This window comes from Homo sapiens, chromosome 21 (genome assembly GCF_000001405.40).
Source record: "Homo sapiens chromosome 21, GRCh38.p14 Primary Assembly".
In the NCBI taxonomy this organism is placed as follows: domain Eukaryota; kingdom Metazoa; phylum Chordata; class Mammalia; order Primates; family Hominidae; genus Homo; species Homo sapiens.
The window spans coordinates 39,328,004-39,342,314 of NC_000021.9; the positions used below are offsets into that span (position 1 = coordinate 39,328,004).

A 14,311-nucleotide genomic window follows, 5' to 3' on the forward strand; every position below is an offset into this window, starting at 1 on the left:
CCTCACCTTGCTCTAGGTAGGATTAATTGACAAGGCAACGGATCTTGTTTTTTATTATGGTTAAGTATACATAACATAGACATTTACCATTTTAACAATTTCTAGTGTATGATTCAGTGGCATTAAGTATATTCCCAGGACAGCTGTTTTTCTAGTAGTGAAACTGAACCAGTAGCAAGCTGGTATACTTTTTTTTTTTTGAGACGGAGTCTTGCTCTGTTGCCCAGGCTGGAGTGCAATGGCGTGATCTCGGCTCACTGCAACCTCTGCCTCCTAGGTTCAAGTGATTCTCCTGCCTCAGCCTCCCAAGTAGCTGGGATTACGGGTACTTGCCACCACACCTGGCTACTTTTTGTATTTTTAGTAGAGATGAGGTTTCGCCATGTTGGCCAGGCTGGTCTCAAACTCCCAACCTCGGATGATCTGCCCACCTCAGTCTCCCAAAGTGCTGGGATTATAGGCGTAAGTCACCACGCCCAGCCACTGGCATGATTTTTAAACCAAGATCGCTCCCTGGAATTTTACATACATAATATGCTCCACTTGTCACAACCTCTTGATTTATTTATAAGAAAGGCATTCACAGTTCTTGTGGAATTCACTTGAGAATGAGAGTACAAGTTTTTATTTTCATGTTTTTTTTCCAAGGAGTCCCCAAAGCATTAAAGATATAGTGAATGGAAAGGAGGTCTTGGGCCTAGGAAGCAGAAGTTGATGATGCCAATTTTATCAGTCCCCAATTGAGAGACATTTGACTATTTTCAATTTCCATCATTACAAACAATTCTGCCATTAACATCTTTGTCTGTGTCTCCTTGAACTCTTGTACTTCTTTAGGGTAAACACTGAAGAATGGCATTGCCAGGACATAGGAAATACCACATTTAATTTAATAGGTACTGCCAAATTTCCCTGTCGATTCTGAAAACTTCTGGAATGCTTAGATCAAGATCTCAATGTCTCAGTCACTGTCTAGGGCCCAGAAGATCTAAAAACATGTTTGGATAGGTGTTCCTAAAATACGTCATTTAGGTTATGTCTCTCCCAGGCCTGCTCGAGTTACTGGTACACAGATCTTTAATTCACTCAACAAGTGTTTATTGAATGTCTATTATGTGCTAGGGCTGTTCCAAGCTCTGAGGATGAAGAAGTGGGAAGAGGAGACAAGTCCCTCCAATCTAGTCGGGAAGGTGTATTCTCACTGTTTCACCTCAGGCTGTTCTCAAGTGTGTCTGATCCATAATAGGAACACAGTGTTCATGCATTCATGCTGGTCTTGCTTGGAAAAAGATCATCTTTCTTGGTTTTTTGGCTATAACAAATAGTTTGTATTAATAGTAGCCAAATTTTTAACTTTCCATCAAAATATGCCATGTCCAATTTTGTCCATAATTATGTTAACTCAGGAGCTCAAAATTGTGCCATATTTATCCAAGAGAAATAAAAACATATTCACAAAAAAACCTCTTTGTACCAGAATGTAGTGTTCATTGCAGCTTTATTTCTAATAGCCAAAAAAAAAAAAAAAAACACCCCAGCCGAGATATCCATCAATAGGAGAATGGATAAACAAGTTGTGGCATATTCACCAATGAAAAGGAATGAGCCACTGATGCAAGCAAATGGCATAAGTGAGTCTCAGAAACATTCTTCTGAGTGAAAGAAGAGTACACACTGCATCATGATTCCATCTATATGCAGACCCGACTAGAACAGGCACAACTAATCTATGGTGGGAAAACGTGAAGCCACAAGGGATGGGGGCAAGAATCGAGTGGGTAGGGGCATGGGAGACCTTCTGAGGGTGATGGCAGTTTATCTTGATGAGGTGTTGGGTACACAGGTGCATCTTTTTTTTTTTTTTTTGAGACAGAGTCTCACTCCTGCCCAGGCTGGAGTGTAGTGACACAATCACAGCTCACTGCAACCTCCGCCTCCTGGGTTCAAGTGATTCTCCTGCCTCAGCCTCCCGAGTAGCTGGTTACAGGCATGCCCCACCACACCTGGCTAATTTTTGTATTTTTAATAGAGATGGGGTTTCGCCATGTTGGCCAGGCTGGTCTGGAACTGCTGACCTCAAGTAATCTGCTCGACTTGGCCTCCCAAAGTGCTAGGATTACAGGCATGAGCTACCACGCCCGGCCACAGGTGCATCTTATCAAACAGGAAGCTTGAGATTTTACATTTTATCAAATGCAAATTTTACATCTGAAGGAAAAAAAATAGAACCATAAACAAATATCGAGCTTTAAATAATAATGTGTATGCTGAATTATTAGGGGGAAGTGTACTGATGCCTGCGATTTACTTTAAAATAAATGAAAAATAGGCCAGGCACAGTGGCTCACCCTTGTAATCCCAGCACTTTGGGATGCTGAGGTGGGTAGATCACCTGAGGTCAGGAGTTTGAGACCAGCCTGACCAATATGGTGAAAACCCCGTCTCTACTAAAAATACAAAAATTAGCTGGGCATGGTGGCGGATGCCTGTAATCCCAGCTACTTGGGAGGCTGAGGCAGGAGGATTGCTAGAACCTGGGAGGTGGAGGTTGCAGTGAGCCAAGATCTCACCATTGCACTCCAGCCTGGGTGACAGAGTGAGACTCCATGTCAAAATTAAATAGATAAATAAATGAAAAATAAGGTGGGCCGGGTGCGGTGGCTCACGCTTGTAATCCCAGCACTTTGAGAGGCCAAGGCAGGTGGATCATGAGGTCAAGAGTTCAAGACCAGCCTGGCCAAGATGGTGAAACCCTGTCTCTACTAAAAATACGAACATTAGCTGGACGTGGTGGTGGGTGCCTGTAATCCCAGCTACTCGGGAGGCTGAGGCAGGAGAATCACTTGAACCTGGGAGGCAGAGGTTGCAGTAAGCCGAGATTGCACCACTGCACTCCAGCCTGGGCAACAGAGCGAGACTCCTCAAAAAATAATAATAATAATAGGTGAATTGATGAGGAATGGGCAGATGGATAGAAATATATGGAACAAAGCCACTATAGTAAAAACAAATTGTAAAATCTAGCTGGTGTCTCTATTTAAAAAAGGATCTTTTGGCCAGGCACAGTGGCTCACACCTGTAATCCCAGCACTTTGGGAGGCCAAAGTGGATGAATCACTTAATTTCAGGAGTTTGAGACCAGCCTGGCCAACATAGTGAAACCCCATCTCTACTAAAAATGCACAAAAAATTAGCCAGGTGTGGTGGCGGATGCCTGTAATTCCAGCTACTCCAGAAGCTGAGGCAGGAGAATCACTGGAACCTGGGAGAGTGAGGTTGCAGTGAGCTGAGATTGCATCATTGTACTCCAACCTGGGTGACAAGAGCAAGACTCTATCTCAAAAAAAAAAAAAAAGAAAGAATCTTTGGAGATCAAAAGCCTCAAGTCATGTCATCCTCAGCCATGTGAAGCCAGTTCAGAGCTTTTTTTTTTTTTTTTTTTGGAGAGGAGACAGAGTCTAGCTCTGTCGCCCAGGCTGGTGTGCAGTGGCACTATCTTGGCTCACTGCAACCTTTGCCTCCCGGGTTCACGCCATTCTCCTGCCTCAGCCTCCCGAGTAGCTGGGATTACAGGTGCCCACCACCACATCCAGCTAATTTTTGTATTTTTAGTACAGACGGGGTTTCACTGTGTTGGCCAGGCTGGTCTCGAACTCCTGACCTCGTGATCTGCCCGCCTCGGCCTCCCAAAGTGCTGGTATTACAAGTGTGAGCCACCGCACCCGGCCCAGAGCTTTTTGTCGGTTAAAAAAAAGGGAATTTCTTGGAGGGATTTAGGAAAGAGTAAAGGAGAGAGAGTGAGCATATGACAGCAAGGGATTGCAACAGATTCTTGTCTAGTGGCCTCCATCTCCTTGAATGCCTCCCAATTCATCCTTTACAACATTTTTTTGGCAACTTGAAGATCTTTTCCTAGAACCTTTAATCCAAAAGGAGTTGCTACTCAGCCGACAGTGAGATGTCCATATTCAAATGCAGAGGCCACATTGCGGTTTAATTACAAACTTTTTTTGTGACATACTGTTCCCCTTGCCTGCAAAGGCATGGATTGTCAAGAGTTGACTGAAAAATGTTTTTTAGAAACCTTGCAAATTATCAGCAGATTAGTGATGTAACAGAGTACCCCCATTTTTCTGATAAAGAACATGAGTTATTTTTAAAATGTTATTTTCTTTTCTCTTTCCTCCTTTTCCCCTGTTCCCCACTTCCTACTTATGTCTTTAGGAATGCAGTTATAACCTTGACCTTCCCTTCACCAGACACTCCCTACAGGGCGAGCTTATCTAACTGTGTGCTTACTTAGAAGCTCCAGAGCAGGAACTTTCTCCCACTGGGAGATTGCCTTGAGAGACAACAGTCAATTTACAACGTAACATGTGCCTGCAACAGAACCGTCTCCCACCTGGAGAGCATCTCGAGACAATGGCTACTTTACAACCTAGCTCTGCCCAATGGCGCCAGCTAGACCACCCGGTAGATAAGACACTGAAATGAGTCACGTAGTACCCGCACCTGCTTTCTCCCTTCCCTGCCTGCCATTCATGCCAAGTACCCCACATTTGTTTTGTTTTGTTTTGTTTTTATTTGTTTTTTGAGATGAAGTCTCACTCTGTCGCCCAGGCTGGGGTGCAAAGGTGCGATCTTGGCTCACTACAGCCTCTGCCTCCCGGGTTCAAGCGATTCTCCTGCCTCAGCCTCCCCGAGCTTCTGGAGATGGATAGTGGTGATGGTTGTACAAAATGTAAATGTACTTAATGCCAATTAACTGCACACTTGAAAATGGCTAAAATGGTACTTTTAAAACTTTTTTATTTTTGAGACAGTCTCGCTCTGTCGCCTAGGCTTGAGTGCAGACATATGATCTCGGCTCACTGCAACCTCTGCCTCTTGGGTTCAAGCAATTCTTGTGTGTCAGCCTCTAGAGTAGCTAGGATTACACGCGCCTGCCACCACACCCAGCTAATTGTTGTATTTTTAGTAGAGATGGGGTTTTGCCATGTTACCCAGGGTGCTCTCAAACTCCTGGCCTTGTGTGATCCTCCCGCCTCAGCCTCCCAAAGTGCCGGGATTATAGGCGTGAGCCACCATGCCCTGCCAAAATGGTACAATTTATTTTATGTATATTTTACCACAATAGAAAAATATTTATTTAAATTTTTCAAAACATAGATATGGGGGGATCTCACCATGTTGTTCAGGCTATTCTCAAACTCTTGGGCTCAAGCAATCCTCTCGCCTTGGCCTCCAAAAATATTGGGATTTATATTTATATTTCTTTTGTGAATTATCTTTTCATATCATTTGCTAATATTTCTATTGGTTTTTTTCATATTGATGGTCATATTTCTATTGGATTTTTTCTTTTTCATATTGACGATAGGAATTCTTTTTTTTTTTTTTTTTGAGATGGAGTTTTGCTCTTCTCTGCCCAGGCTGGAGTGCAATGGTACGATCTCTGCTCACTGCAATCTCCACCTCCCAGGTTCAAGCAATTCTCCAGCCTCAGCCTCCTGAGTAGCTGGGATTACAGGCATCTGCCACCACGCCCAGCTAATTTTTGTATTTTTAGTAGAGACGGGGGTTTCTCCATGTTGGTCAGGCTGGTCTCAAACTCCTGACCTCAGGTGATCCGCCTGCCTCGGCCTCCCAAAGTGCTGGGATTACAGGCGTGAGCCACAGCGCCTGGTCGACGACAGGAATTCTTTCTATAGTTTGACATCTAGCCCTTTGTTATGTGTGTCACAAAAATTTTCTCCCAATCTAACATTTCTCAGGTATTTGTTTACATAAGATCATATCAAGCCAGGTGAGCACCATTAGTCCTAGCTACTGGGGATGAAAGAGGCTGAGGCTCCTTAAGCCCAGGAATTGGAGACTGTATTGAGCTATATGATTGCCCCACTGTACTCCAGCCTGGGTGACAGAGTAAGACCCCATTCTCTAAAATAGAAACAAACCATATAAAAGTTTAAATTGTTATGAGGTCAAATACTCCTACCTTTTCTTTATGGCTTCTGAATTTATTATCTGGCAGAGGAAAGAAGGCCTTCTTCAATTCATAATCATAAAACTATTCTCCTATACTTTCCTCTGGTGCTTTTAGAGTTTTTCTACATTTGGATTGTTAAATCTGTCTGGAATTTATTTCTATGTGTGGTGTGAAGTAGAGAACTAATTTATATTTTCCAAAATGAATATCCAATTGAACTGAAACATTTTATTTTATTTTATTTTTTCCAGACAGAGTTTCACTCTTGTTGCCCAGGCTGGAGTGCAATGGCACGATCTCGGCTCACTGCAACCTCTGCCTCCCGGGTTCAAGCAATTCTCCTGCCTCAGCCTCCCCCGTAGCTGGGATTACAGGTGGACACCACCATGCTCGGCTAATTTTTGTATTTTTAGTAGAGATAGGGTGTCACCATGTTGATCAGGCTGGTCTCGAACTCCTGACCTCAGGTGAGCCACCTGCCTCAACCTCCCAAAGTGCTGGAATTACAGGCATGAGCTGCCGTGCCCGACCTGAAACTTTTTTGAGTGGTCTCTTCCTCAACAAGCTGAAATGCTACCTTTATTGTATATTAAATTTTTGGCTAGTCTCACAATTTTTCCTATTTCCAATGGAAATTCTACTGGGATTGTGATTGGTATTGCATTACATCTTACACAGAAAAAAACGGACACCCTCAAATCGTTACTCCTTTCCCAATAGCAGAGTCATGGAATCAACCTAAGTGCCCATCAGCAGATGTCTGGATAAAGAAAATGTGGTACACATACATTGTGGAATATTGCACAGCCATAAAAAAGGATGAAATCATGTCTTTTGCAGCAACGTGGATGAAGCTGGTGTCCATTATCCTAAGTGAAATAACTCAGAAACAGAAAATCAAATAATTCGTGTTCTCACTTATAAGTGGGAGCCAAACTTGGGTACATATGGACACTGGGGACACCAAAAGAGGGGAGGGCACAACAGGTATAACATCCACTGTTCTGGTGATGGGCACACACTAGAAGCCTAAACCTCACCATTACCCAGTACATTCCTGTAACAAATCTGCACATGTACTCCCTGAATTTACAAAGATTAAAAAAATATATAGGGCCAGGCGAGGTGGCTCATGCCTGTAATTCCAGCACTTTCAGAGGCCGAGGCAGGCGAATCACGAGGTCAGGAGTTTGAGACCAGCCTGACCAACATGGCGAAACCCCGTGTCTACTAAAAATACAAAAAGTAGCCAGGTGTGGTGGCAAGTACCTGTAATCCCAGCTACTTGGGAGGCTGAGGCAGGAGAATCACTTGAACCTGGGAGACAGAGGTTGCAGTGAACCGAGATCGCGCCACTGCACTCCAGTCTGGTGACAGAGCGAGACTCCGTTGCAAAATAATAATAATACTATAAAAATAAAAATAAATATTAACTTTTCTTTAGGAACATTGTGTGTTTCTCATTTGTTCTGATCTTTTTTATGTCAAAGACTTCAGTCACATCTTATATTTTTCTTGGAAGAGAAAAATGCTCTTTTTTTTTTTTTTTTTTTTGAGACGGAGTCTCGCTCTGTCGCCCAAGCTGGAGTGCAGTGGCAGGATCTCGGCTCACTGCAAGTTCCACCTCCCGGGTTCATGCCATTCTCCTGCCTCAGCCTCCCGAGTTGTTGGGACTACAGGCGCCCGCCATCACCCCCGGCTAATTTGTTGTATTTTTAGTAGAGGTGGGGTTTCTCCGTGTTAGCCAGGATGGTCTCGATCTCCTGACCTCGTGATCCACCCACCTCGGCCTCCCAAAGTGCTGGGATTACAGGCGTGAGCCACTGCACCCGGCCCAAAAACGCTCATTTTTGATACCAACCAAGAACCACAATGAGACCTGAAAATGTGCGAGAGCAGCGCACCCGTCCACCAAAGCACCTAGGCTCTGCCCATCCCGGTATCTAGGAGACTGCTTTATTCATATTAGCTCAATTAAGTTCGTTGAATTTAATATTTCATTCATATTGTCTTTAAAAATAGATGAAATAAGGAGAACTGAAGCAGAAAGTGAGAAATCATGTGATGACCTTTAAGACTGTCTTAAATATATTTCTTTTGAAAATCTAAATGGGCACTGGTGGAAATGACAATCTTGCACGTTTTAATATGCAACCACATCCTTACATAAAAACAGCCAAGCATGCAAGACTCCCAATCTTTCTTCTCTATGAATCATGCATAACAGATTAGTGTATTTTAAAATTCTCATACATAACTTCAATGTATTATTAGTATTTGTACATTTTTTAAATTAGAATTTTCTAAGGAGTAACAACATTAAGTGCTTTTCAGAGATAACATTTGTAGTATAAAATTATATATAACTTTTTAATATAATTTGCAGTTATGGATTAAATCTAAAACACAAAAGTAATCTTTCTTTACACTTAAGGATGTAAGGAAACACTGAGGGACTTAACAAAAGCCACTCTCTAACAAGACAGCACAGCCAGATTTTATGAGTACGAGTTACCCATTATAATGCTCAGCTTAAGGTTAAATTAAGTGTAGTTTCAAAGGCTTTCCTCAACACTATATATTGCTGTGAGGTGGTGGGAGGCGGGCAGGAATCTGCCAGGAATCTAGTAATTGTAGGTTCTGAAAATCACTCAAGAAAGAAAGCAGACGTTTATGGTGCACTAACTGCCAGGCCCCGCATCATCCACTCTGACCCTCTGGGTAAAGTATTATCGTCTCTTCAGTTAAGCCCATTACCTATATCCTTAGCCCCTTCTGTTGTCAGGTTACCTTCATTTGCAACCGAGAGGTGGTGGAATGGAGCTACAGATGATGGTCCCTTGCCCTGATGCCGATCCGCGTTCACCCCAGCGAGTGTCTCGTATCTTCGTGCCGTTTCCCTTCAATTCCATCACTAACCATGGCACTATACATCTCCATGCCCTCAAAAAATCTCAAACATCTACCTACTTTTTTCCACTGGAAAAGATTTTTGTGGAATCAGCATCTGGAAGCTAATATGTAATTCTTTTTTCTTTTCTTTTCTTTTTTTTTTCTGTTTTGTTTTGAGACGGAGTCTCGCTCTATTACCCAGGCTGGAGTGCAGTGGCGCGATCTCGGCTCACTGCAAGCTCCGCCTCCCGGGTTCACGCCATTCTCCTGCCTCAGCCTCCCGAGTAGCTGGGACTACAGGCGCCCGCCACCGCGCCCGGCTAATTTTTTATATTTTTAGTAGAGACGGGCTTTCACTGTATTAGCCAGGATGGTCTCGATTTCCTGACCTCGTGATCCGCCCGCGTCGGCCTCCCAAAGTGCTGAGATTACAGGCGTGAGCCACGCTAATACGTAATTCTAAAGTGGAACTAGCCATGATGGAGATATATATATATATATAATATATATAATTTTTTTTTTCCCCTGAGACGGGGTCTAACTCTGTCGCCCATGCTGGAGTGCAGTGGTGCGGTTCAGTGCAACCTCTGCCTCCCAAGTTCCAGTGATTCTCCTGCCTCAGCCTCCGGAGTAGCTGGGATTACAGGCACCCGCCACCAGGCCCGGCTAATTTTTTTGTATTTTTAGTAGAGACAGGGTTTCACCATGTTGGCCAGGCTGGTTTCCAACTCCTGAGCCCAAGTGATCCACTTGCCTTGGCCTCCCAAAGTGCTAGGATTACAGGCATGAGCCACTGTGCCCTGCCGATTTTTTTTTTCTTAATAGCAGCTTCTTTTAAAATTGAATTTGTATCCAATCCTGAGAAAATGTCCAATACTACAAAGGTAAATGAGCTTTTACTCCTAAATATTTGTTCTTATGCATTTTGTTCCTTTTCAGTTTTGTATTTGTAGATATTATTTTAAAAATATCCACTCTTATTTGCTTCCAAAAACGTTGATGGCTACTGGGACTGGTTGCCTGGTACAGGGGCTTCGGTATACTGTACTGTTGGCATGAGCAGTATTATCCCAAATAGAGTAATTTTTTTTTTCTGACAGTCTCGCTCTGTCGCCCAAGCTGGAGTGCAATGGCGCTATCTCGGCTCACCGCAACCTCCGCCTCCTGGGTTCACGCCATTCTCCTGCCTCAGCCTCCCAAGGAGCTGGGACGGCAGGCGCCCACCAGCACGCCCGGCTAATTTCTTTTTGTATTTTTAGTAGAGACGGGGGTTTCACCGTGTTAGCCAGGATGGTCTCAATCTCCTAACCTCGTGATCCGCCCGCCTCGGCCTCCCAAAGTGCTGGGATTACAGGCGTGAGCCACTGCGCCCAGCCCTTAATAATTATAAAAAAAAGTGTAATGGCCAAATTATGGTTTTGCCACACGATGAACTATTAAGCAAGTATTAAAACATTTTACAGTTAAGGAAAAACCCAAACATATGAAGAAAATTCACCCTAAAATAATTGCTTTTAGCTTCTGGGATTAAATGGTTTTTTTGTTTGTTTTTTGAGGCAGAGTCTTGCTCTTTCGCCCAGGCTGGAGTGCAGTGGCAGATCTTGGGTCGCTGCAACCTCTGCCTCCTGGGTTCAAGTGATTCTCCAGTTTCAGCCTCCCAAGTAGCTGATACTACAGGCGCCCACCACAGACTAATTTTTGTATTTTAGTAGAGACGGGGTTTTGCCTTGTCGGCTCGGCTGGTCTCAAACTCCTGACCTCAAGCTCAAGTGATCTGCCCACCTTGGCCTCCCAAAATGCTGGGATTTCAGGCATGAGGCACCATGCAGGGCCCCTAAATGGTTTCTTACTTTATACTCTTTGAGGTTTTAAAAAATGTAATCCTAGCTTTCACGATCTTGAAATAAAAACAATTGTTACCAATTGATGAGCTGCTTCCCATCATCTTTTTAAACCTAATGTTTAGAAATTCTCAATTCTAATTCTCAAAATTACTTGGTGTTTCAACCAAGTATTTCTATTGCAAACTCATGGAACAAATGGAGATTGTGATAAGCAGATACATCTTTAGGTCTATCTGTGTGGGTTAGCAGAGATTAGTTTTTAGTTTGACAATTCTTGTTTTAATGCGAAAAAGTCTAAATGTCTGACAAATTATATATTCTTGAAATAAAATACTACACAGTGCTTACAAACGCTGTGTAAGTGTATTCACTGAAATGGGAGAAAGGTCACAGTATGATAAAGACTACAAAATAGGATGTACAAGCATAGAATAGGATCTGAGAAAAATGCATCTTTAAATAGCTACTTAAATAGCTGTTTAAGTGAATTATGGGTGATTTTAGCTTGCCTGCAGTTCCTGAGTTTTTTTTCCAATGTGTATTAATTTCTCCCCTATGATGACACACATATTTCTCATCCCTGCATCTGTCCATCTCCCCAACCTCATCCCTAACCCCACAAGACTTTTATACACATTTCCCAAACTGCTACAACAGAACAGAACTTCCCCCTGGGGCCTCCATGATTACCATGAATCCAAGTACTAAGTACCAAGATCTGTGCCTTAAATCCTGATTAACCCACATTTGACGCACGTCAAGCTCAATCTCTGAGAAGTCAAGAGAATGCAGGGTTCTTGTTCACTAGTTTTTCTAATCAACCAATTGCTGTCTGATAAGAAGTTCTCTTCCTTATACTTTTAGATGTCTGATATTGGTACAGCCAGTCAACCATTCTCATCACTCAAAAGTACTGTCGACTCTGTTTAAACGGCAAGATATTAACTTTCTGTACTGATCCCAGAAAACATGCCTCAAAGTGGCTTTTGAGACAAGATCTTTGTACCCCAGGCTGCAGTGCCATGACACAATCACAGCTCACTGCAGCCTTGAAATCCTGGGCTTGTGATCCTCCTTCTTCAGCCTCCTGAGTAGCTGGGACTACAGATATGCACCACTATGCTTGGCTAATTTTTAAAATTTTTTGTAGAGACTGGGTCTCGCTGTTGCTCAGGCTGATTCTGAACTCAGGCTCAAGCAATCCTCCCACCTTGGCCTCCCACAGCACTGGTGTGACTGCCACATCCAGCCCCCAAGGTGGCTTAGTTAAAAAAAATTTTTTTTTTCCTTTGACAGTTGAAGTCGGTTTATCATAAAAATATGTGTCCTGGCCAAGGCGTGGTGGCTCACGCCGGTAATCCCAGCACTTTGGGAGGCCGAGGCGGGCGGATCATGAGGTCAGGAGTTCGAGACCAGCCTGGCCAACATGGTGAAACCCAGTGTCTAATAAAAATACAAAAAAATTAGCCGGGTGTGGTGGCTCACGCCTGTAATCTTAGCTATTCAGGAGGCTGAGGCAAGAGAATTGCTTGAACCTAGGCGGCAAAGGTTGCAGTTAGCTGAGATCGCACCACTGCACTCCAGCCTGGGCGACAGAGTGAGACTCCGTCTCAGAAACAACAACAAAAGGTGTTCCTTCCTGTGGGTAGGATTTAAAAGAAAAAAAAAAAAGGAAAATGGGCAGCCTTAGGGCTAGCAAACACCCAAGTAATAGGTCAGATTTAACAAGGCAAGGCTCGCTCCAAAAAAACTGTAGAAAAGCCTAACGGAGTAGTTCAAGGCAGGATCTTAAAGTACTTCTGTTATGCTTTTCTACAATGTTTTTGGTATTCTATAAGCCAAAACCCTTTACCTGTTTTAATTTGTAAGAAAAACTAGTGATTTCTTTAAATATATCATTACAACGAGTATTCAACGATTAAGAAAATCTGTGATTTGAAAACATCTATTACCACCGTCCGGGGTGGGAAGGTTGGGGATGACAACTAACTAAACACTGGCAGATGGTTCTATGGTTAAAAGGCTTATCAAAAACTCATCTATTCTACCTATACTTCAGAGTTAAAGGCAAATCTGTTCATCACCGTTTCAGGCCTCCATCGTGTAATGACCAACAGCGCTCAGGTGGCTCCTAGTCCTTCCCCATCCCCCAAGGGTTATCAAAGCTTCTTTGCCGTCAGTTCATGACACATCACTATCCTCTGCATTTGCTTTTACTGTATCCTCACTATTCCCTATAAACTCTGCTCTGGCAGTCCGTGCAGAGATCTATGATCCCATAGGGCTTGTTTTTAAAGGATTCTTGCCTACTGATCAGCCCACAGGCAAAACAACACACCAAGTGTACAGAGGTTTAAATTCTGTTCCAAGGATCCCTATTTAGTGATAACCTCAACAAGGTCTGTTCTCCGGCCGTTTTCACTGTTGCCAAGTCAAGAGTTGCCCCACACCACCTCTGAAGACTATACTTAAGAGGGCAGAATGACAACAGAATGTATATGAAAGCAAATCTGGAAAATACATACCATACTAGATTTAGTTGTAGCTTCTTTTTTTGGGACAAGTTTCACTTGTCACCCAGGCTGGAATGCAATGGCGTGAACTCAGCTTACAGCAACCTCTACCACCTGGGTTCAAGCAATTCTTCTGCCTCAGCCTCCTGAGTAGCTGGGATTACAGGTGCCCACCACCAAACCCAGCTAACTGTTTTATTTTTAGTAGAGATGCGGTTTCACCATCTTGGTCTCAAACACCTGACCTCAGGTGACCTACCCACCTCGGCCTCCCTAAGTGCTGGCATTACAGGTGTGAGCCACCACACCTGGCCTATCTGTACTTTTTTTAACCTCATACGAAGAGTTAAGAATTACGTATTTGCTTTGATTCAAAGGATATTGGATTGTTTTTCCCTTAAACCAATATAGTCAAGCAACTTCAAAGGACATAGATACTCAAGCAGTTATGTCTCAGGTATCAACCAACAATGAACCACATAATGGTCCCATATTATATACTGTACCTTCTCTTTAGATACACAAGTACTTACCATTCTATTACAACTCCCTATAGTATTTACATAATAACATGCTGTACAGGTCTATTGCCTAGGAGCAATAGGTTAAACCATACAGCTTACATAGGTAATAGGCTATGCCACTGAGGTTTGTGTAAGCACTCTCTATGATGTTCACGCAAGAAAACTGCCTAACAATGTGTTTCTTAGACTGTATCCAGTCAGTGGTGACCCATGACTGTATTAAACAAAAATTCAAACATTTCACTTAAAAAAAACAACTTTGGAAGATCAAATATGGAATTTTTTTTTTTGAGACAGGGTCTCACTCTGTTGCCCAGGCTGGAGTGCAGTAGTGCGATCTGGGTGCGCTGCAACCTCCACCTCCCAGGTTCAAGCGATTCTCCTGGCTCAGCCTCCCGAGTAGCTGGGATTACAGGCACCTGCCACCACACCTGGCTAATTTTTTTTTGCATTTTTAGTAGGGACAGGGTTTCACCATGTTGGCCAGGCTCAAATGTGGAAATTCTGTAAATAAAATTTAAACCAGAATTTAATCCATGTGCTTCAAAA

General features: G+C 43.2%; 1 annotated feature.

Moving 5' to 3' along the window:
* Positions 4,181 to 4,681: an enhancer, noted in NCBI's record as "H3K4me1 hESC enhancer chr21:40704110-40704610 (GRCh37/hg19 assembly coordinates)". NCBI's record gives its function as "activates a minimal SCP1, AML or CMV promoter by ChIP-STARR-seq in primed H9 embryonic stem cells {active_cell/tissue: H9 hESC(primed)}" and the evidence as "EXISTENCE:reporter gene assay evidence [ECO:0000049][PMID:30033119]".